At 51.9% G+C, this 22,273-nt stretch overlaps 1 protein-coding gene and 1 long non-coding RNA gene across 5 annotated transcripts in view, besides 1 other annotated feature; one reads left to right on the top strand and one right to left on the bottom strand.

Moving 5' to 3' along the window:
* SLC22A1 (solute carrier family 22 member 1) overlaps positions 1–15,225 on the bottom strand; it is a 36,904-nt gene extending 21,679 nt beyond the window's left edge. For all 4 annotated transcript variants that reach the window (XM_005267103.3, NM_003057.3, NM_153187.2 and 1 more), the window contains exons 1-6: positions 14,694–15,225; positions 6,833–6,936; positions 4,654–4,808; positions 2,915–3,083; positions 706–820; positions 390–496 (exon numbers count right to left, since the gene is read on the bottom strand). In XM_005267103.3, the coding sequence (XP_005267160.1) occupies positions 390–496; positions 706–820; positions 2,915–3,083; positions 4,654–4,808; positions 6,833–6,936; positions 14,694–15,104 (1,061 nt within the window). In that variant the 5' untranslated portion in view covers positions 15,105–15,225. The remainder of the gene's footprint in view (positions 1–389; positions 497–705; positions 821–2,914; positions 3,084–4,653; positions 4,809–6,832; positions 6,937–14,693) is intronic.
* Positions 1,949–3,148: an enhancer, noted in NCBI's record as "P300/CBP strongly-dependent group 1 enhancer chr6:160554924-160556123 (GRCh37/hg19 assembly coordinates)". NCBI's record gives its function as "activates an origin of replication core promoter dependent on BRD2, BRD4, P300/CBP, MED14 and CDK7 cofactors, with strong dependence on P300/CBP, by STARR-seq in HCT116 cells {active_cell/tissue: HCT116}" and the evidence as "EXISTENCE:reporter gene assay evidence [ECO:0000049][PMID:35650434]".
* Positions 15,226–15,344: 119 nt separating the features above from the next.
* On the top strand, positions 15,345–20,994 carry LOC124901452 (uncharacterized). Its single transcript, XR_007059842.1, has 2 exons — positions 15,345–16,198; positions 17,611–20,994. It is a non-coding gene; the product is annotated as an uncharacterized LOC124901452 (long non-coding RNA).
* Positions 20,995–22,273: the final 1,279 nt, after the last annotated feature.

The raw sequence follows: 22,273 nt of genomic DNA, 5'->3' as shown, positions 1-22,273 counted from the left end.
GGTGTTTAGATATGAGGAATGGAACTTCCTCCTCGAACGCTCCAGGAGCTCTCATCCACCTTCTGACGCCGAGTCAAGACTTGGCTATTCCCAGAAGATGAGACCATGTGGAACGGAGGCAGCCCCGATAACCCTTTATCCTATTTCTCTCATCCCACTGGTGATCTCCCAAAGGTAACAAATGCTCCTCACTAAAATGAAGCCTTTTCCTTATTATTCAATCCCCAAGGGAGAAACAAAAAGAGCTCTTTGACCACTCACAACTATATTACAATTCTTTTTCCCTTTCTCTTTTTCCACCTGAGTATTCCACTGTCTCTAATCTATAGCCCAGTGCTTGGGCGAGCGTGCTGATTCTGCCTGGAGAGACGCACAGGAACGCCCCTCACCACAGGTACATCAGGATGAAGGTGCGCTTCCTCAGGCGCGGCGTGCGGAACAGGTCTGCAAATGAAGGGCTCAGCTTTTCGGTGACATCCTCTTCGAGGGAAAGCATCTAGGAGGGAGGGAGAGCATCAGCCACACTCACGCTGTCATGAGCAGAGCCACCTGGGAGCCCCTGGGGAGGTGAGCCTTGCCACCACCGTGCTTCACACCCATGACAAGGGGCACAGTTCTGCTCTTTCCCCTGGCAGCCCCAGACGAATCTGCACCAGAACCCAGCCCCAGATTCAGTGATGTGAGATACCCCTTCCTAGATTTCACCTTTAAATCAGCAGGAGGCAACTTCCCATTCTTTTGAGCGATGTGGTCCATTATCTTTATTGCTTCAGTGTTTCTTTTTTGTGATAACAGCCACCGAGGGGACTCCGGCACACACCTGCGAACACCACTCATCACTATCTGGCATTTTCCTCGGTCTGACGTTCAGCCCTGAGCGGGGTGATGCTGTTGCTCAGTGCAGCCTGCCCTCCCCACGTTGGGGCTGTAATCCCTCAAGAGGATGAGGACCTGGGGTCACTGTGCGCTAGCCCATGTGGCCCAGGTCACAGCTCTGTGGGTCACTCAGACTCCTAGTGTCACCTAAGATTTATAGACCAAAAGGGAGCCATCGCTTCCTATGTAGCCTTCCTTCTGTGCAGCAGGGGCCTCATCTCTCCTGGGGCAGCCTTTGTCCCCCACGGAAAACACTCACAGAGCAGATGCTCCATGTATATTACCCGATGACACCAGGACATCTCCAGGCAATACAAGGGCTGTTGAACACTTCTCAAAATATTTCTCAAACAAAATAAAATGTATTTACTGTCCTTTAAAATCAAATCAACACCATGCTGTCTATTTCAAATGGGACGAGGAGGGTACAACTCAAAGACTGGGCCTCTCTGGCATAAGGGTCTTCTGAAAGCTGGCCGGCATTGACTGCCTCACCCTGCCTGAGCATGCAGAATTTGCCTTTCTGCTGGAGAGATCCCTGTTTCACAAGGACGAGGCAGGGGAAGGGCAGGCTCCTCAGAACTCCCTGGCCATACGTGTACAACTCTTTCATTTAGAGAGACTGGGTTAACTCTAGTGCCACCCACAGATGAGGTCTGCTCTCAGCAAAACTAAGACAAAAGGTGGAGGGATGAGAAATTCCTCTCTGTGGACCTTTCTGCTACCCCCTCTTCCCTCCACCACAATAAAAACTGACCTGTGGAGTTCTTTGCCCTTCAGACTCTGCGAAGCACTCACAGCTAATATGATTAACACCTTGTTTGGACTGATTCTGTGTCATAATGGCTCAGGGTACACAGTCCCCAGAGAAGGTTGCATTGAGCAGGCCTGTTGTTCCTTCATTCTGTCACTCATTCATTCAATCAAGATCAAATGCCTGCTCTATGGCTAGATGAGAGGTATTTCAGTGTCTTAATAATAATACCAATAGTACTATAAAAATGAAGAAGTGGGAGAAGAGCAGAGATGACAGCAGAGAGGAAGAGAAGAGGGGGAAGAGGGAGAGGATCAAGAAGATAACAGAGCATCTGACTTCATGCCAGCACCCCTGGGACGGACTCTAGGGGACTCTCGGGAGTGGTAGCCATTGCAGTGGGATTGCCACCTGTGGAGCCTTTCCTACCACTGGACGCTGATACAGATTTCCCAAGGCCACTGAGCAACCCTCAAAAAGCTGCCTCCTTCACCCGGGAGTGAGGTTCAGCCTTGTGTTTCTGGAAAGTGCACATGCTGAGGCCCTGAGTTTTCCTGGATTTCTGTCCGACTCTTGGCATGGCCCACCTTTATCTGGGGGAACCTATCTAAAGAGGCTTTGTCTGAGGAAAGCTCCACATGTAACCTGGGCCGCCTGGTAATAACAGAACAACCTGAACAGTACAAGCGGTGGGAAGCGCTGGCTCCACGCAGCCCCATGCGATATGCGTGTGGGAAACCCCAGGCTCTGTGCAGCCCTATGCATCATGCCTGTGGGAAACCCCGGGCTCTGTGCAGCCCTATGCATCATGCGTGTGGGAAACCCCGGGCTCTGCTCATCCCTATGCATCATGCATGTGGGAAACCCCGGGCTCTGCTCATCCCTATGCATCATGCATGTGGGAAGCCCCAGGCTCCCCTCATCCCTATGCATCATGCGTGTGGGAAACCCCGGGACCAGCTCATCCCTATGCGTCATGCGTGTGGGAAACCCCGGGACCAGCTCATCCCTATGCGTCATGCGTGTCGGAAACCCCGGGACCAGCTCATCCCTATGCGTCATGCGTGTGGGAAACCCCGGGACCAGCTCATCCCTATGCGTCATGAGTGTGGGAAGCGCCGGGCTCCGCGCAGCCCCATGCGTTATGCATGTGGACACCATGGCCTTTGGAAGACGGCCTGTAGGCGCCCCCCACTCCAAGAGACTGGTCCCTCGAGAGGACAGAAAGCGCAGCCAGAGGGGTGGCCGGCGCCCCTTCCCCGTAGGCAGGAGGAAGGGCCTCACCAGTAGTAGAGCAGGAAGAGGAAGGTGGGCAGGGAGACTGCCAGCTGCAGCCAGCGCCAGTGAGGCAGGGCGTAGGCCAGCCCGGTAAGCGCCACCAGCCCCACCGTGAAGGCCATCTGGTACATGATCGCCACCGTTCTTCTGGAGCCCGAGCCAACAAATTCTGTGACTGAAACAGGAGGTGTGGACGTTATGCGGGTTCCTTGCAGGAGCCCAGGAGCCCGACGCCGTGCGTTCAGAAGCTCGGGGCCCCAGTCCAGCTTGTCTCCCCGCGGGAAGCTCCCACCCGGCCTTGCCCAGCCTCACCTGCTCCCAGGCTTCTCTCTTGTGTGTCTCCCATTTCTCCTTCCCGCAAACCACAGCCGCGCTCACGCCTCCCCTTCTCTCTGGGGCCCCGGACCCATCAAACCGGGGCCCCGGACCCATCAAACCAAGGCCCCGGAGATCCACCAGGCTGCTTGGCTCTCTGGCTTTTCCCTGACCGTCGCTTTCCGCGTCTGCTCCTTTACCATCTGCACTCCCCTCTGCCTGCTTCAGGACTCAGTCCACTGGCCTCTCCTCCCCAACGCCTTCCTCGAGAAGCTCCAGACTCAGCTGGAATATTTGTCAGGACCCCAGGGGTGTTCATTCATTTAGCAAATATCTTTGAGTGCCTCCTGGGGACCTGGTACTGTGCGGGGTGTCTGAGGCACATCGTTAAGCATAGGAGGTAGAGTCCTGCCCTGGGAGACCTCATTTGGCAGACGCTCCACATCACAGATAAGAGAATGCAATCCTATGTTAGAGCGTGATACGTGTAACGGGAACAAAAATGAAAAGGGGAAAAGGAAGTCAGGGGAGTCGTGGGTGGAGGGGCTGCGGGTGGTGTTGGAGCGTGGATGTGGCCCCGGGTCAGACCCCCCAAACCATGTGTGGGACGGTGCCTAGCAGCAGAGGCTGTCACAGGCTCCACACGCATGGGGCTGAGCCAGCTCAGCTTCACCAGGCTGCTCATGGCTTCTCAAGGCGGGAACGTGGATCCTCTTGGCCCTAGTGAATGAGTTCTCAGAATGCCAAGTGATAGCACCTTGTTTTCAAAGATGAAAAGACAGGCTATTTCTTTTTTCTCCCCCACAAATGAGTAAAAGTGTGGCTCATCCTCACTGCTGGCTGCCGTGCCCTGGCCTGGGGAAGTACAGATGACTCTTAGGCTGCATTCCTCCCGGAAAGGGTTTTTTGTTTTGTATTCTTAACCTTAGAATATTTGAAAGGGAAAAAAAGGCTGATATGTAAAACTCCTCATGTTGGTTTATACTTCAACTTTTTCAAAATCCTGATTTTCACAATCCTTATTTTATTTGCTCCTGTTTTCTTTCCTAATTCTTGAGTGCCATTCAAGCCCGTCAAGTTTGCTGTATTTATTTTAAGGAGTTGCTGGTTCTTTCTTATGTAAAATGCTAGAATATTCTCTCACTTATCTCCTCTTCTGCACCCCATCCTGACTGCTGTGAGCACATCAGCATGGGGTCTTTTTGTTCCCCAAATAGATTAGTTGATTAATAGGTCAGTAATCTAAGTGATAATTTAAGTGTCTCAGACACAAAAAGAGAGGAGGCCATTCTAGCCCATGTCCTGCCCTAGTCACATAAATACAAGGAACTGGTGCCCCGCAAGCTCCTTGACCCCACAAACAACCCCCTACCCACGTTAGGCCCATCCCATTCTACCCTGAGACCTGGCCTCATCCCCATGATAATTACTTAGGGTGTAGCCAGCCATCCAGTTGCCCTTGCTGACCAGGCCCTGCAGCAGGCGGAAGAGCAGCATGGACATGTAGTTGGGCGAGAAGGCCATGAGCACGCCCGACACCGCGTTGACCAGCACAGTTCCCAGGAGACACAGCTTACGGCCAAACCTTCAGAGAGAAGGAGACATGGAGGGCAGGTGGGAGAGGTTGAAATCTGGGGTCAGACATGCATGGTGGGATGCCAAGGGTCACAGTCGGAGGCCACCGCACCACTGTCCTGGGAGACTGCAGGGTCTATCAGGACAGCAGTGCCCAGTGCACCGCCCAGCCTGCTCATCTGTCCCAACAAGCTCCGCAGCCCTTCCGGGTCTGAAGAGGAGTCTGAGCGCTCCCAGCAGCATCACAGCTCAGCCGGGCAGTGCCCGCAGACCCTCTCCAGTTCACGCCTGTCCCCTTGCCTTATCTTCATATTTAGCAGATGGCATCATTATTATCGCCACTGGTCAGGCTGCACCCAAACCAGGCTTCCTTCCTCCCATAGTCTTATCAACCATCATGGAAGCTTTTCAGTGCCATATTCAGCTCTGATAGTGTAGCCATACAGGGCTGTTTCTCTTCTCCTTTTTCCGGGAATGAAATGGGCAAATTACTCGCTGGGATTGCACTGTTCCCACCCAATTTTTTGACCACACCCCATGTTCTCCAAGAGCCAAGGAAAGAAGCCAAGGGCAGACCATGCAGTGTGCCCGCCCACCCACGCTCCCCACCCGCCTGCCGCCCCCGTCCCCTCTGCCACCCCCATCTGCCTCCACTAGGCCACTTCACTTGTCCACCTTGTGTCCCCTGGCCTCAGACCTCCACCCCGCCTCAGGACAGCCCCAAACCGGCCAGTAAACCCTTGCCCTTTGTGAAAACATAGGAACTTCTGCCAGAACCCACGTCTTCTAACCAGGGATGCTCAGCCCCAGTGGCGGCACCTGGCTTCGTCCCCTCTCCCTGTCTCCTGCAGCGGCATCTGGGTCTGTCTCCTCTCCCTGTCTCCTGGGGCAGTGCCTGGCTCTGTCCCCTCTCCCTGTCTCCTGGGGCAGTGACTGGCTCTGTCCTCTCTCCCTGTCTCCTCCAGCGGCACCTGGCTCTGTCCCCTCTCCCTGTCTCCTGCAGTGGCGCCTGGCTCTGTACCCTCTCTGTCTCCTGGGGCAGCACCTGGCTCTGTCCCCTCTCCCTGTCTCCTGCGGCAGCACCTGGCTCTCTGTCCCTTCTCTCTGTCTCCACCTCTGAGCTGGGCCTCAGACCCCCAGCCAGGCCTGGGTTCCCTGGCCCCTGTCTTCTTCCTGCATCCCTGACTCCCTCCCCTATCAGCCTCCTCATCCTGGACCCTCCCCACACTCTTTTAAAGAGTTGTTCACACAACTCCACTCTCCTGCCTTCGGGTTTTCTCCAACCACCCTGTCCTGGGTGCCAGGCCCCCCACAGCAGATTCTGACCACTCCTCCTCGTGGTCTCCTGGTGCATTTCCACAAGCGCCCTGGAGAACAGTTGTCCTTCGATCTCGCTGCCATTTTTCCTGTCTCCTTTCCCAGGGCACTTTCCCTGCCTACCTTTCTGCATTGCAGTTCTCTCTCGACACCCTCTTCCAGCACATCCTGATATGCTGTACAGCCTTAAATACCAACTACTGGTGACAAACCCCCGATATTGAACTCCAGCCCAGACCCCTTTCCAGAGCTCACTCACATACCCAAGTGGCTCCTTGGCATCTCTTCGTAGATGTCTCAGGCCGTGCAACTCATCTCCAAACCTAACATCTCTAAGAGCCCTAGTTTCCTCCATAACCTCTCCCCTATCAACCGCTGCAACAAAATCCCTTCCTAACCCTCTGCATCCCATCTCAAAATGGCCTCACGACCAGGCACCTGCTGGAAGCATCAATCTTGGCTGTGTCCCCGCTTTCTCTCAGCCCACTAACTGTACAATCTGCATGCAGCTTGGACTCTGAAACACACCTCAAATCTCTCCACCACTCCCCTGGTAGCCCCACAGTATCCCAAAGCAGGGGCCACTGTGTCTTGTCTCCAGCAGCTTCTGCAGTTAATTCCAACTGGTCATGTTCTCCACCACTGAGAACAGATTCGCCCTTAGAATCTGTTCTCATGACATTCAGAGGAGGCTTACCTGGACTGGCCTTTACATACCTGTCTGCAAAGTAGCCAACACCGAGAGAGCCAAACAAGAAGCCCGCATTCAAACAGGACTGAAAGAGGTCCAGCTTCCAGGAGTCAGCACACACCAGGTTGAACTGCCAGTCATACCACGGCAAGAGGAGGACGAAAAGCACAGAACCATGTGTGAGTCAGGACTACACCCTTCCATCCTCTCTTCAGCAAAGCAAATGCAGTTCATCAAACTCGGTATCCCTGGGCTGTTTCACAGAGTTTTCTCCTACTACATTTTCATAAGACAAATTCAAAGTTTCTGATGAATCACTCAGCAAATATCAAATGCAACTAACCCTCGAACAACATGGGTTTGAACTGCGCGGGTCCACTTACAGATTTTTTTTTTTCAATAAAATTTACACCGAGTGTGCCTGTCTCTTCTTCTACCTCTTCCACCTTTTCTGCCTCTGCCCTCCAGGACAGCAAGACCAAGCCCTCTTTTCCTCCTCCTCCTTAGCCAACTCCACGTGAAGATGATGAGGGTGAAAACCTTGATGATGATTCACTTCCACTTCGTGATGTTTTTCCACTTCCTTAAGTTTTTCTTAACATTTTCTTTTCTCTAGCTTACTTTATTGTAATAATACAGTGTATAATACATATAACATACAAGATATGTGTTCATTGGCTGTTTATGTGATTGGCAAAGCTTCCTTCCAGTCAATAGTAAGCTATTAGTTGTTAAGTTTCTTGAGATAGACTGTGCCTTATGGTCACATGTGGGTGGGACCAAAGGTTAGGAGGACATCAGAGGCTCCCATGCACCAAAAGCCAGGGGAGGGAAGATATCAAGGTGGAGGGGACAGAGGAAAAGACAGGCATGGGCTGCTGGGAAGGGCTTGTTTTGTTTGGGTTTTTGGAGAAGGCAGATATTCCCTGCGTTTAGAGGCCTTGGGGAAGAAAACCAGGAGTGGAGGGACATCCAAGAGTCCTACCTCCCATAGCACAGAGCATGGTGATGCTGGCACATGCCTAGACATGGTAGAGGCTGGAGGGCAGAAGAATGGCCCCTTCCTCTTTAGAGTTGAGACAGGCAGAAAGAGTGGACTCTGGGGAGAACAGAGGGTGTTGGGTGGAGGCCTCTCGACCCTTTCAGTTCCTGGTACAGCCCCTCCTGGGTGGTCGACACATCCTTCCTGCCCCCGTCCCTCCACACTGCTTTGTCTGCATCAAGTCCATGGCTCCCCTAACCAGAATACTGTGGAGTACGATGGCAGTGAGTCACTTCACAGCCCTGGGCCTCAGTTTCCCTGTCTGAAACGTGTGTTGTACCCATTCCATCACACCCATAGGGCTGCTGGGTGCATTGGAGGGGAGAAATCACATGCAGATAGCTTTAATAAATAATAAACCCTTTTATTTTAGAAACAGGTTTTATTACCCCCACTTCCAACCCTCAAATCTCTAAAGTTGCCAGTTTGAGCCACACCATGCCCCGATCCTGGGGTCAAACATTCAGAACTGGCTTTGTGCAGTGGCTTATGCCTTAATCCCAGCACTTTGGGAGTCTGAGGCAGGAAGATCGTCTGAGCCCAGGAGCTTGAGACCAGGCTGGGGCAACAGAGTGAGGCCTCATCTCTACAAAATATTAAAAAATTAGTCAGACATGGTACCATGTGCCTGTAGTCCCAGCTACTTGGGAGGCTGAGTTGGGAAGATCAATTGAGCCCAGGAGGTTGAGGCTGCAGTGAGCTGTGTTCAAGCCACTGCACTCTACTCTGGATGACAGTGTGAGACCCTGTCTCAAAAACCAAACAACATTCAAAGCCTCAAGGACTCTGAACTCAGCCAGCCTGGGTTCTGTCTGATGGACTGACTAGTTCCTTGACATGAGCACTTTTTTTTTTCCCTGAAATATAGGTTAAACTCTGTGTTACCACCTGAGTTTCAGAAACAAACACAAGCCTCTCCTAGTAACTGCCTTCTGCCCAGACCCCAGTGTCTGCTCCTATGGGTGGTACAGCTCTGGGGCGTGCGACAAGCTACTGCTCAGTGTCACTCTCATGTTTTCTGCCAATCCCAATATTGATTTCCTCTAAAATTCAGCTTAAAACACAGCTTCTCCATGGAGCGCCTCCCAGGTCACCCACCCGATGTATAACTCTTTTTGGCTGTGGTTCTTTTCCTGCCTGCCGTGTGCTCTGCCATTAGAATACACGTGGACACGTCCTTATCTGGCTTTCCCAGGGTTTGTGTCTCCAACTGCCCAACTCTCTCTTTGCAGCCTCACCCGTGGTCTGCCGTACAGGATTTCACTCAAGTTGCAGGGGTCAGGGAAAGATGTGGAATTATTACCTGGGGCCTCGGCTTATTCCCTTCTCAGCCATTGTTTGTCTGGTTTTTATTATAATCTTTGCAAGTTGGTATCTCTGTAAGATGTGCCTGCCGCCTTCCTGAAACACCCTGTTGCCATCATGCCCCAGGACTGTATATGGAACCAGTGAGCTCCTGGAGCTGGAGTGCATCCCACCTTCCAACATCTCATCCACACAGAGAACTGGCTCTGCCCCAGGCTACCCTGAGGATCAGTTTCTAGAGCCACCTGCAAAGCTTGTAAACCTGCCATGCTTCCTCTGCTCCCAAACACCAGCCCAACCATGAGTACCCTGACACATTTGTGCACCTTGAGAAGATAGGCTGGGCCCTGGGAGAAGCTGGGGCTGCATAAAGGTAGGGACGGGATGGAGGATGGGAATCTCCTAAGCCCACTCGCTGCTCCTGCTGGGATTTCACCAGGGCCGGGGCAGCTCTTTCCGGCACGATTATAAAGCAACCTACTGCTTCATCACGAGAACCACACAGGGTCCTGGTGGAACCACAGATTCCCTGTGTATTCTGCCTCAGTGGGTCCCGAATAGGAATCCAGGTGATCCTGAGGATCAGCCAAGTTTGAGAAACACTAATGTAACTACCTCTGTCTCCCTTGGCCTGAGACCACTTTCCCTTGCTCAGCACTCATGGCTGGTGGAAGACAGCTGGCCTGGTGTGGGGGCTGTGGCTGAAACCAAGACTGATAGAGGAGATCCTCTTGTTGGGAGAGTCAAAAGCCAGGAAAATGCCCACATCCCCCCCGAGTGGACCTCATGATCTTAGCACCAGAGGAGATCCTCTTGTTGGGAGAGTCAAAAGCCAGGAAAATGCCCACATCCCTCCCCAGTGGACCTCATGATCTTAGCACCAGAGGAGATCCTCTTGTTGGGAGAGTCAAAAGCCAGGAAAATGCCCACATCCCTCCCTGAGTGGACCTCATGATCTTAGCACCAGAGGAGATCCTCTTGTTGGGAGAGTCAAAAGCCAGGAAAATGCCCACATCCCTCCCGAGTGGACCTCATGATCTTAGCACCAGAGGAGATCCTCTTGTTGGGAGAGTCAAAAGCCAGGAAAATGCCCACATCCCCCCCGAGTGGACCTCATGATCTTAGCACCACAGGAGATCCTCTTGTTGGGAGAGTCAAAAGCCAGGAAACTGCCCACATCCCTCCCCAGTGGACCTCATGATCTTAGCACCAGAGGAGATCCTCTTGTTGGGAGAGTCAAAAGCCAGGAAAATGCCCACATCCCCCCCGAGTGGACCTCATGATCTTAGCACCAGAGGAGATCCTCTTGTTGGGAGAGTCAAAAGCCAGGAAAATGCCCACATACCCCCCGAGTGGACCTCATGATCTTAGCACCAGAGGAGATCCTCTTGTTGGGAGAGTCAAAAGCCAGGAAAATGCCCACATCCCTCCCCGAGTGGACCTCATGATCTTAGCAGCAGAGGAGATCCTCTTGTTGGGAGAGTCAAAAGCCAGGAAAATGCCCACATCCCCCCCAAGTGGACCTCATGATCTTAGCACCAGAGGAGATCCTCTTGTTGGGAGAGTCAAAAGCCAGGAAAATGCCCACATACCCCCCGAGTGGACCTCATGATCTTAGCACCAGAAGAGATCCTCTTGTTGGGAGAGTCAAAAGCCAGGAAAATGCCCACATCCCCCCCGAGTGGACCTCATGATCTTAGCACCAGAGGAGATCCTCTTGTTGGGAGAGTCAAAAGCCAGGAAAATGCCCACATCCCCCCCGAGTGGACCTCATGATCTTAGCACCAGAGGAGATCCTCTTGTTGGGAGAGTCAAAAGCCAGGAAAATGCCCACATCTCCCCCGAGTGGACCTCGTGATCTTAGCACCAGAGGAGATCCTCTTGTTGGGAGAGTCAAAAGCCAGGAAAATGCCCACATCCCCCCCGAGTGGACCTCGTGATCTTAGCACCAGAGGAGATCCTCTTGTTGGGAGAGTCAAAAGCCAGGAAAATGCCCACATCCCCCCCGAGTGGACCTCATGATCTTAGCACCAGAGGAGATCCTCTTGTTGGGAGAGTCAAAAGCCAGGAAAATGCCCACATCCCCCCCGAGTGGACCTCATGATCTTAGCAGAAGAGGAGATCCTCTTGTTGGGAGAGTCAAAAGCCAGGAAAATGCCCACATCCTCCCCGAGTGGACCTCATGATCTTAGCACCAGAGGAGATCCTCTTGTTGGGAGAGTCAAAAGCCAGGAAAATGCCCACATCCCCCCCGAGTGGACCTCGTGATCTTAGCACCAGAGGAGATCCTCTTGTTGGGAGAGTCAAAAGCCAGGAAAATGCCCACATCCCTCCCTGAGTGGACCTCATGATCTTAGCACCAGAGGAGATCCTCTTGTTGGGAAGAGTCAAAAGTCAGGAAAATGCCCACATCCCCCCCGAGTGGACCTCATGATCTTAGCACCAGAGGAGATCCTCTTGTTGGGAGAGTCAAAAGCCAGGAAAATGCCCACATCCCCCCCGAGTGGACCTCATGATCTTAGCACCTAGCCTTGCAGTGGGAGTTAAACTTGGCGTTCGAACAGATTAGCTCACCTTCCCTCCTAAAGCAAGTTCCAATGTCCAAGGCAATGCTAGGTTAAAAATTAGTTCTGCAGAAATGAATAACTAAGATTGATTCCCCAACAATAATTTTCAGTTTTGGAGGAGGAGCTGGGGCCAAGGAAGTTGGGGTTAAAGTGGGAGACAATTCTTACCCACGAGCCAGTTTCTATCACCCTCCCACCTACCCCCAGGCTTCCAATCACCTTGGAAAATCTCCACATGAATCCCACCACCCTCCCAACTTACCACGACCCCAAAAGAACATGGAGTGCTTAGTGTGGGGTTGCCAGGTACAATACAAACCATATCCTCTTCACCATCTCTGCCCATCAGAGTTCCAGGATTCCCACAATCCTCCCCAGGGCTCTACATCTTGGGGTTATTGGAAGCCCCCTCCACAGCTGCCACGGACAGGCAAGCTGTTCTAAAGCACTCTCGGGCCCCTCTCTGTCCCAGCCTCCCCACTTCTGCTGCACCCCAAGGTCCCCTCTTACCAGGCCCCTCTACCTGCCCACATGGCTGCCTCTCCAAGGCTCCCAGTTCAGCGTTCAGAAGCTCCATTTGCCTATACCCCCCAAGCCAGAGCCCTCCGCCAAGCTGGGCCTCCTTCTCCCCAGCCCTGACAATGCTGGCATCTCTTACATCTTGTCTTCCCTTCATTCCCATGACAACCATGTTGGCCAACACTTCTTACCGGGGCTCACTCTTGGCCTCCTCATGCATCTCTCTACCTCTCCTGAAGCCTCCAATCCCACCACCGCCCCTTCCCACCCATTCACGAGTCCAGCTAGGGTCACCTTGCTTGCCTGCCTAAATAAGACCCAAACTCCTTTGTTGGGCACTAAGGTAGCGTTGCCAGGGTTCACAAATAAAAATACAGAATGCCCAGGTAAATTTGAATTTCAGATAAACAACTTTTTTTTTTTTAGGATAAGTATGTTCATGCAATATTTGCATTTCCAGTCTCAGTTATCAGTACCAAATATCATGCAGTATCTGGGAAGTAAGTATCCTATCCAGTTGGATTATCTGAAGTTCAAATGTTCGAGTTTAACTGGGCATCCTGTATTGTACCTGGCAACCCCACACTAAGCACTCCGTGTTCTGGCCCCAAGGTTAGACACCAGTGTTCTCCCCACAACTCCTCATATCATGACCCTCATATCAGTGCTCCTTGCACCCTGAATGCAGCAAACACTCCCTGGGCCCTGAGCCTAGGCTCAAGCTCTCCCCTTGGTCTGGGGATCTACTTCCCCTCCCCTCTACTCCACCTGTCCCCTCTCCTTGCTGGTCCAAATACCAGCTGAGGCTCAGCTCAAAGCCACCTCCTCCCAGAAGACGTCTATGATCAGCTCAGAGCTCAGCAGCTGAGATCTCTACCTTCTTAGAGCCCACCAGTCCCTTTCCGCCCTGCTCATGGCATTCACCACAGGCGGCCTTGGGCTGTCATTAAACGAACACTGGTCTCATTCTTGCCATCCTCTTCCCCTCTCAGTCCCCACAAGACTGCAGACTCCTTGAGGGACCTCACAATCTTCTTCTGCATCTCCCCTGCGGCATCACACCCAGTGCCAGAATAGAGGGAGTATGCCGAACATACTGGGTGGATGTCTGACTGGAGGAATGATCACATCTGATCTCCTCAAAGCAGAGTATGTCTCAGTCCCAGAGAGCAAACACATCCTCATCCTGGTCTGCTTCTAGATTCCCAGTGGGAATGTCAGATGGTTGGAGATCCCTGGAAGGTGGGCTGCCTAACTTGTCATCCATTGTTGGAGGATGCCTTGGAGACAAGATGTCTCTTCAGCATCGTAAAGCCAGTTGCACCGGCACCTGCTCTGCTCCAGGCAAGCAGGTAGAGCAATGCTCAGGCCCAGAGGGGAGGGACCCTAAGCTTTCCTCCAGTAATAGCCCTAAATGTGTCACCGCTGATACCACTCAGGAAAGGGAAAAGAGGAAGAACAGAGACCCAAGAAGTCCGGAGAGCTTGGGCGAGGGTAGTGGGGGCAGACAAGTGGGCAGGACCAGAGGCAGGGAGGGCCCAGTTACCTCTTATTTCAGGGAAGCAGTGCCTGCACCAAAACCACGCCACTGCTCGTTACTAACAGAAGGCCCCTGACGGGCTTTGGCCCACAGCTTCTCCAACCCACCAAGCATCCACACTTGTTACCGTGCAATAGTTTCAAAAGGGCTCATGATGGGAAAAAAATGTGGTGACACTTTTTACTAAAGGATTCTCAAAGCAAAATGCTCAAATAACCAAGTAAACTACTCAAGCAAGGCCCTTTTGAGGCCATCGCCCTATCCCATGGGCCCCATCGGACTGCACGGTGTGACTCAGTTTGGATTTGCTCAGTGCTTTCACAGATCCCAGCTGAAGCTCACACCCCTATGAGGCAGCCGTCATCATCCCTGGTTGACTGATGAGGAAATGAGGCTTAGAGAGGCAGTGACTTACCCAGTGATGCTCAGCTAATAAGGGGCACAGCTGGGATTCCACCAAATATTCTCACTTCCAAGCCAGGGCAATTCCAGGCCACCTCAACACCATCATTGAGGTCAATCGTCATCACTCTTGAGCAGAAGGAGGGGGCCCACAGTACTATTGGTGGGGAAGCGGGACCCAGAGCAAGTTGATAGTTCTGGGAGAAGCCAGTGGGGCAGGCAGAGAGGCTCCTGGTCTCCCAGTCAACTCCCATTCAAGCAACCTGGCAACCTGGCCCCCGACTTGTGCTAGCTGTTCTCTCCTGCCTCAGCTTCCTCCTCAAAGACCCAGAGTTTGTGGTGGATTAAACTAGAGAAGAGAATGCCCCGTGCCTGGGACACAGCCAGACACCCACGAACTGCACAATAAACATAGCCCCCTACCTCTTTCCTGATATGGAACTGAACTTCATAGGATTTGCTTTATATTTCTCCCTGTCCCAGGAACTCCCATGTTACAGAGGCTTTTTTACCTCAGTGACGATGGAAGAGCCGGGCGTGTCATACACCCAGCCATCCTGGCAGGGACCCAGCGGCAGGTGGCTCCTGTTGGTGGCCAGGCTAGCCAGGGGGTCTACACAGCTGAGGGCGCTCTGGTTCCAGTCCACTTCATAGCGCCTGCACTGGCCAAGGAAGGCCTCGCCCGCGGGCCCCAGGCCTGGCACTGTATAGTTCAGCTCCTCCGCAGGGCTCCAGCCACAGCGCTGGCTCAGCTCAGCCACCCCAGGACTCTGGCAGTGGTGGTCAGGTGTGAAACCCAGGAAGACGATGCCCACACAGATGGGCGCAAAGGCAGCCGACAGCAGGCATAAGATGAGGAAGGCTTGCTTCTGGAACCAGCCAGACTCCCCAACCTGCTCCAGAATGTCATCCACGGTGGGCATGATGGCTCAGCATGCTCATGGCCGTGGCCAGACCTGCTCTGGGCTGCAGTGGCCAGGTGCAATGTCTCCCTCAGAGATCTTTGAAAAGGAGTGGTTTGAAATCAGTTTGCTGTCCAAGTGTGAAACATCTGGAAGGCAACCAAGTAGAAATAATCTTTTACCCTATGGTGCTGGTTTCAGGAAAAGGAAGAATGCACGTGGCCATCTGATCAAATCGTTTGCTTTGCCCGGGAGCGAGTCAGTGGGGTCTAAGCCCGAAGAGAATTGAAGTTCAGCCACAGAGCAAGAAGAGGGCAGGAGAGCAGGCCGTGCAAACCTCCTAGTAGCTCCCTCAGGGCTCTTCCAAAAAGAATATCTACTTGTTTTCTAGATGTGATGGTATGAGGCAAGTATTGGGTGACAGCCAGGTACTAGATACTGTATTCGGCTAATTAGTTCTGTGATACCATTTAAGTATTTTTTTTAGTTTTTTTTTCCCATAGGTTTTGAGGGAACAGGTATTATTTGGTTACATGAGCAGGTTCTTTAGTGGTGATTTGTGAGATTTTGGTGCATCCATCTCCCAAGCAGTATACACTGCACCCAATTTGGGTGTTTTAAGCTCCACCTCTTCATTTGTGTGTGTGTATACATGTCTAGATGTGTTTACTTGTATGTACACTTACTGTTATATGTTGTGTCTACCAAATTGGCTTATAAGTAAAAGAGTGTTCATAAATTAAGTAAATAAGTCTAAGCAATTTTCAAATTCACTTAAGTATGACTTTGCTAAATAGGCTGTCTTTTAAATTATCAGTAAAATGAAAATAGAAATGTCTTCAAAATATAGACATGGTCTAAATTATGCAAGTCAGAAACTAGGTTGACTAAATGCTTTAAGGTCATAAACTGCTTTGGCTTTTGAAAATTGTTCAACTTTCCTGCTTTGCAGTTTGGTAGGGCCTGCCCTAGCTATGCTGGAAATAGTTAGACCTCATCTGCACCTAAGTACGTAACTAAAATAACTTACTGGGTATTTCACCAAAATTAACAATTACTAAGAGCTACCATTATAACATGTAGTGATGACTACTGAAAACAGATCTACACGTGAGGTGAGTAAGGAGAGTAAAATGTATCATTAGTAAAATAATATAAGAAGGCATGGGAATGTAAATTTTTGCCTAGTTCAGAGGGTTAAATGATTGTTTTAAATTATATAAGATAAAGCTTAAGGTTCAAACAAGTTATGGAAGGTTTGTAAAAAATTAATCTTGTAAAAGGAATCCTGTGTGTAAACATATTGACTACACTAAAAAGGATATTATTTGGTTTTCCATAAGTTGAACAATGGAATACAAGCACAACAAGGTTTTCTTGAAGCACTTACATGCTGTTTAACAAAAAAAATTTGTAAAAGGTTATAAAAGATTTATAACAATCTCAGTTCATGATCAAACTGATTAAGATTGGATGGATTTCTCTGTAAGGTTTTATTTTTTTTAATTGGGGTTGACATTAATAGACTAATGTAAGGGTAAAATTTGGCTTTCACTTGAACAAGATTTTCATGCAATGAAAGATTTTGTTTTCTTTGTGAATAAGCTACTGACACAAGAAGGGAAGGACAAGAGATCAACAGGACTCCAGGGTCAATAGGGCTCCATAGCTGAGGGGAAGGGAGCTCAGCAGCCTGACATGCTGGCGAAAGGGTAAAAGTTCTTACCAGTCAGACTTTTGGTTTCTCTCTCTGTGCAAACTGGTTGCAGGAACAATAAAAAAATCACTATATTCTCTGCCCCTCCATGAATTCAACTGGCCATTTGGCATGGCTAAAGTTGGATAATAAGAGACTTAAAAGGACTTCTTAAAAAGGAGTGCGATGGTTAAAAGTTAGATTGTTTGGAAAATTAGGTCTTCCCTCTTAGTGACTGAAGGTTTTTGCTTTGAGTCATTTAAATGAATGACTTATAGTAACCAAAAATTCTGTTAAGTGTTTTGAGCCTTTACAGCTTCAAAATTTTCTTTCCTAACCCCTGAGTTTTGGATGCTACAGAAGACACCTGGAGCATCGAAAGGGAGAGGTAAACAGGGTTATTTGACAAGTTTAGTTACATAGGATTACCAAAATAAGGTGTTTGATCTTCAGGTTATATTTTAGTGAAAAATGTTAATGTGTGTTTCAAAATTGTATGGGATTTCTAGATTTCTGATGCCTGAGTTTGTGTTATCAATCATAGCTAGGGTTATTGTGTTAGGTTATTGTAAATCACAGAGGTGACCAGATTTCTTCATCAATTGTGTTTTTGACTATGAATACGCTAGGACATTTTGACATTCACAGACAATTGTTGTCATGTTTTGATCCTCTTCAAGGGATGGATTATAGTCTTCAAATGCAGATTTCTGATAATTTTGGAGATTGTGAATAGGAGTTGACTGGGTGAGCTGAACTAATAGAAGACTGAAGCAATCTTGTTTTGACCTTTTGCTTGGAATACTGTTGATCCTTTATCTTGTTTTTCAGAATCAAGGAAGCTTTTCTTTTGAGCTATTTGTAGCTTTTGACAATTGTGAAGGTGAACCAACTAGTGATATCTGACTACAGCTCAGAAGAAACAAGGGATGGGCCGTTAAACTCCAAATGGTCATGAAAATGGAGCCTCAGATGATGGCTGCCTTGTACTGGATATTCTTAGATAGGTCTCTGAGAGAGACTTGACTGTTGTTTTCCCAAAACAATATCCCTGGTCAGCACGAAGCAGTTAAGAGTGGTCATTGTCCCTACCCTAACAGCAGTTAGGTGTACCTCTTCAGAGGGGGAAATGATGGCAGCAGCAGGGAGGCGTGGCTGGGGCTGAACACTCCACGGAGCTGATGGAAGCCCCACCCTCCTGGGACTGTGGATCCAAGCCTCCTTGTGCTCTTGGAGGGGGCCAGCAGCAGGCCAGATCTGCCTGCCTGGATGCAGCTGCAACCACCTGACCTGTGGCTGCAGACCTGGGCCTCTCACTCCACAGAGCAGGCAGGAGCCAGGGACAAGCAGGAACCCCACCCCTTCTGAGTTGGCAGGGTGGGAGTTCCGTGGATGCAGCTGTGGCTGCCCTCCCAGGCACAAGACCTGGGCATCTCTGCAGCCTGCAACCTCAGGGGCCTGGGAAGGCCTCCCCACTAGTCCCCATCCCAGGCTCAGAAGAGTCTGCTCCCACTGCCTGGCCCCTCTCCCATCCCAGCACCTGCTCCGATCTCAGAGCAGGGTTGGGGTTGAGACCTGGGGCCATGAATGGCAGCAGGAGGCAGACAGAGTCCTGGGAAGAAGGAGGTGTGTCCCTAGTAAGGCCCACCTTCAGGCCAAGAAGGGCCTGAAGGCTGGGGCCTGGGCTGCCAGTCCCGGAAACCAGAGTGGGGACTTGTGGTGCCTCTTCCTAACCCACCCATGGCCACCCACAGAACAACTGGCATGCACTTCCTCCCTTCTGAGGTCCATAAAAGCCCTGGACTCAGCCAGAGCAGGGCAGAGGATAGCTAGAGGATGAAGAGGGCAGAGAGATGATGGGACAACCAGCTGCAGAAAGGAGTACCCTCTCTGCCGATAGCTGGAGATGATGGGACAACCCACAGAGAGGAGCCACATTCTCTGCTGATAGCTGCAGCGACAACCTGCTGGCAGAGAGGAACCACCCTCTCCAGGGCTTCCTCTCTGCTGAGAGCTGCAAACATCAGGATGACCAGTTGCAGAGAGGAGCTACCTCTCCTGGGCCTCCTCTCTACTGAGAACTGAACACTCGACAGATGACCTGCCTAGAAGAGGAGCTACCCAATGCAGGTGTCCTCTGAGCTGTTGTAACACTCAATAGAGCTCATCTTCGTCTTGCTCACCCTTCACTTGTCTATGTCCCTTATTCTTCCTGGACGCAGGACAAGAGCTCATGCAAAGGCACCGTGACCACAGAGGTTTCCAGCCAGAAAATTGACACCTCAAAGGTCCTGTAACAAAGAGACAGTCACCAAAGCTGGGACAGCAGCAGGCATGGGGCACCACAGGACCCCAAAACCAGTCCTACCATCCAAAAAGTGCCTTACAAGGTGGAGGGAAGAGCAGGAGACAAGAAAGAAGACCAGAGGGTGTAGCAGACTGGCTGTCCAGTGGCCCACATATCCTCACCTCTCAGCTGAGTGTGCAGAACCTGTGACTTGCCTGTAACCAATGGAAATGGCAAGTGTCACGGATGACACCTCCATGATCATGCTCCTTAAGATTGTAACATCCACATGGCTGAGAGTCTCTCTCCCCTGCTGGCTGTGATGGAGCCCTGGCCCTGTGGTGGAGGCCCACATGGCAAGGAGCTGTGGGTACCTTCAGCTGGCAACCAGCGGGAAACCAAGACCCTTGGTCCTGAAGTGGGACAGAATGAATCCTGCCGATATCCACTTGAGCTCCAAATCAAATCTTTCTCCAGATGAGCCTTGAGACGAGGCCACCACTGCAGCTAACACCTTGAATGTAACATCCAGCTGCCCTGCAGCTACCCTCCTGACCACAGAGCCCAGGAGACATGGAGTGTGCATGCTTTACGCAGCTCAGTTTGTGGTGACATGGTGTCACGGCAACAGACAAGAAAGCTTCAGGCTCCTGGGAATCCCAGAGCAGCTGCAGGGCTCCTCCCTGCCCCACACTGAGCAGCCCAGCACTCTCCAGCAGGCCCATTGCCTGCACCTTGTCAATGACCCAGATGGCTGTGCTCTCCAGAACCTACCCGAGCTCCTACAGGTGCCACTCACTGCCTCCCCTCCCCTGGGCAGACTCCTCGCTGATGGTGCAATAGCCCAAGTTCCTAGGGAACCTGGGCCAGGGAGTTACCTCTGCACAGGGGTAATGCCCCAGTAGGCTCTGGCTCAGAGTTGCTGATGGAAGGCATCAAAGTGGCGCAAGGTGGAAAACACCCCATCCCTCCCCCATTTTCAGACCTAGGAGTGCATGTGGCATTGGGGGTGAGCCCCTCCACATGCACATAGAAGTACAGATAAACAGAGGCCCATGGTGTCAGGCATACTCTGGATTTCTGAGACTCTCAGCTGAGCCTCAAGCCCAGTAGACCCACTGGCTGATTTGGTCAAAAGCATGCCCCACCTTGGGGGCTGCAGCTCCATAATTCCCACTCCTGGGGGGTTTTCTTCTTTGGAAATGCTCAGCTGCTGCCAAGAGAGGGCTCAAGGGGGCTGCCACCCAGAAGGCTGAGCATGCCCTGGGCAGGAGGGAGGTGGGCCAGAGGCAGACACTCCCCAGCCCAGAGGAAGGTGGTGGCGCACACTCAGTGCTGGCCCTGTTGTGCCCACAACCCTGACACGAGTGTCCTGCATGTGGATGGGAAGCAGCCAGGGTGCAAGGGGCCCACTTTCAGCACACTTTGAGGAGAAACCAGGCCCCTCTGTGGTACCACCTCCCCAGTGGCCTGTCCAGGCCAAGCCTGGTGCCACTGCTCACCTGTTTCATGGAGAAAGCAGCTGCCCCCAACTCTGGGTGCTCAATGGACTCAGGCCTCCTTTCTTTGGCTTGGACTAGGGAGCAAGGGAGCCTGTACCCACCCCTGCATCCTTCCTTTTCCACTGTCTCCCAGCCCCATGGTTTGGGTCCATGAGGGGATGACCAGACATCCCAGGCAATCAAAATTGCAAAGGGGAGATGGGACTGAGGGCCATGGCCAACTGAGAACAAGCCGTTGCCACCATCCTGAGCATCTAGGATGGCAGGCCGGGCTCCTTCTGAGCCCCGTCTCCTGATCTGATGGAACTGCTCACCCCCACGTACTGCAGATGAGAAATGAGAAACGAAGGCCTAAGGGGGCAAGTCATCTGCCCAGAATCACATGCCTGGCTCTATGTCAAGTCTTAATAAATCAACTCACTCAAAGCCCTGTCACCAGGGACTGATTTTCCAAAACTCCCTATGCTGAAATCCTATTCACCTAATGTCCAACTAGACACAAACTCCAGGTGGGCATCTCATCTGTCCTAGGTCTCAGTGCCCCCTAAGGCCAGGGAGGAGAAGGGGATCAAGCCAGCTGCCAGAGCCGGAGCAGAGGCAGGTCTCACCTGGAAACAGAGAGAAGGCAAGAGCTGGGTTTAGGCCCAGATTTGTACATGAATCCAGGTACCTGCCAGTGAAGTGGCTGTCAGCACACAGGGCAGACCAGTCCTGGCCCCAAGGGCCATGATGGAGGTCTGGGGAAGCACATATGTGTGAGAAAATCAGCCATGAATGAGCAAGTCAGTCACTGGGCACTGGGCCTGCTGCCCACCCGATGGTCCCAGGTGCAGAGGGGGCAGCTGCCTGGGGTGGAAACTCCTGCTCCTGCCACTCCCCTCCCCATGGGGCTGTGCTCAGGGCCCCGCAGTGTGTCCTAGGCTTCTGTCCTCCTCAACAGGCCCCCAGGGTTGGCTGTTTCCTGCTTTGTGCCTGTCAGAAGGGGAACGCTGTGCTCCTAGGAACCTGGAACAGATTCTCCCTCACAGTCTCAGAAGGAATCAACCCTGCCAACACCTTGATGTTGGACTCCCAGCCTCCAGAACTGGAAGACATACATTTCTGTTGTTGAAGCCCCTAGTCTGTGGTACTTTATTATGGCAGCCCTCCCAAACAAATCCAGAGATGAGGCCCAGGACCTGCGGGCAGAGCTAACACAGGGAGGCTGACTTCCGGCCATGAGGAGCCCCAGGCCAGGCCTGTCATCCAGGCGGCCCCCACCACATCCACTCACCACCCTGCATGCCCTTGTGGCCCATTATGCTAACTGTTCCTGGGAACTACTGAAAATTTGATGCAGAAAATCCACTCATTTTCCTAACTGTTCAAAAACATGGTCCTGAATGTCTATTTTAGCCCAGGTACCATTGAGAGGTGACAGCGTGCTGGCAGTCCTCACAGCCCTCGCTCGCTCTCGGCACCTCCTCTGCCCGGGCTCCCACTTTGGTGGCACTTGAGGAGCCCTTCAGCCCACCACTGCACTGTGGGAGCCCCTTTCTGGGCTGGCCAAGGCCAGAGCCAGCTCCCTCAGCTTGCAGGGAGGTGTGGAGGGAGAGGCGCGAGCGGGAACTGGGGCTGCGCGCGGCACTTGCGGGCCAGCTGGAATTCCGGGTGGGCGTGGGCTTGGCAGACCCCGCACTCAGAGCAGCCGGCCGGCCCTGCCGGC

Source organism: Homo sapiens, chromosome 6, assembly GCF_000001405.40.
Source record: "Homo sapiens chromosome 6, GRCh38.p14 Primary Assembly".
In the NCBI taxonomy this organism is placed as follows: Eukaryota; Metazoa; Chordata; class Mammalia; order Primates; family Hominidae; genus Homo; species Homo sapiens.
This window is presented reverse-complemented; position numbering and strand designations above follow the sequence as displayed.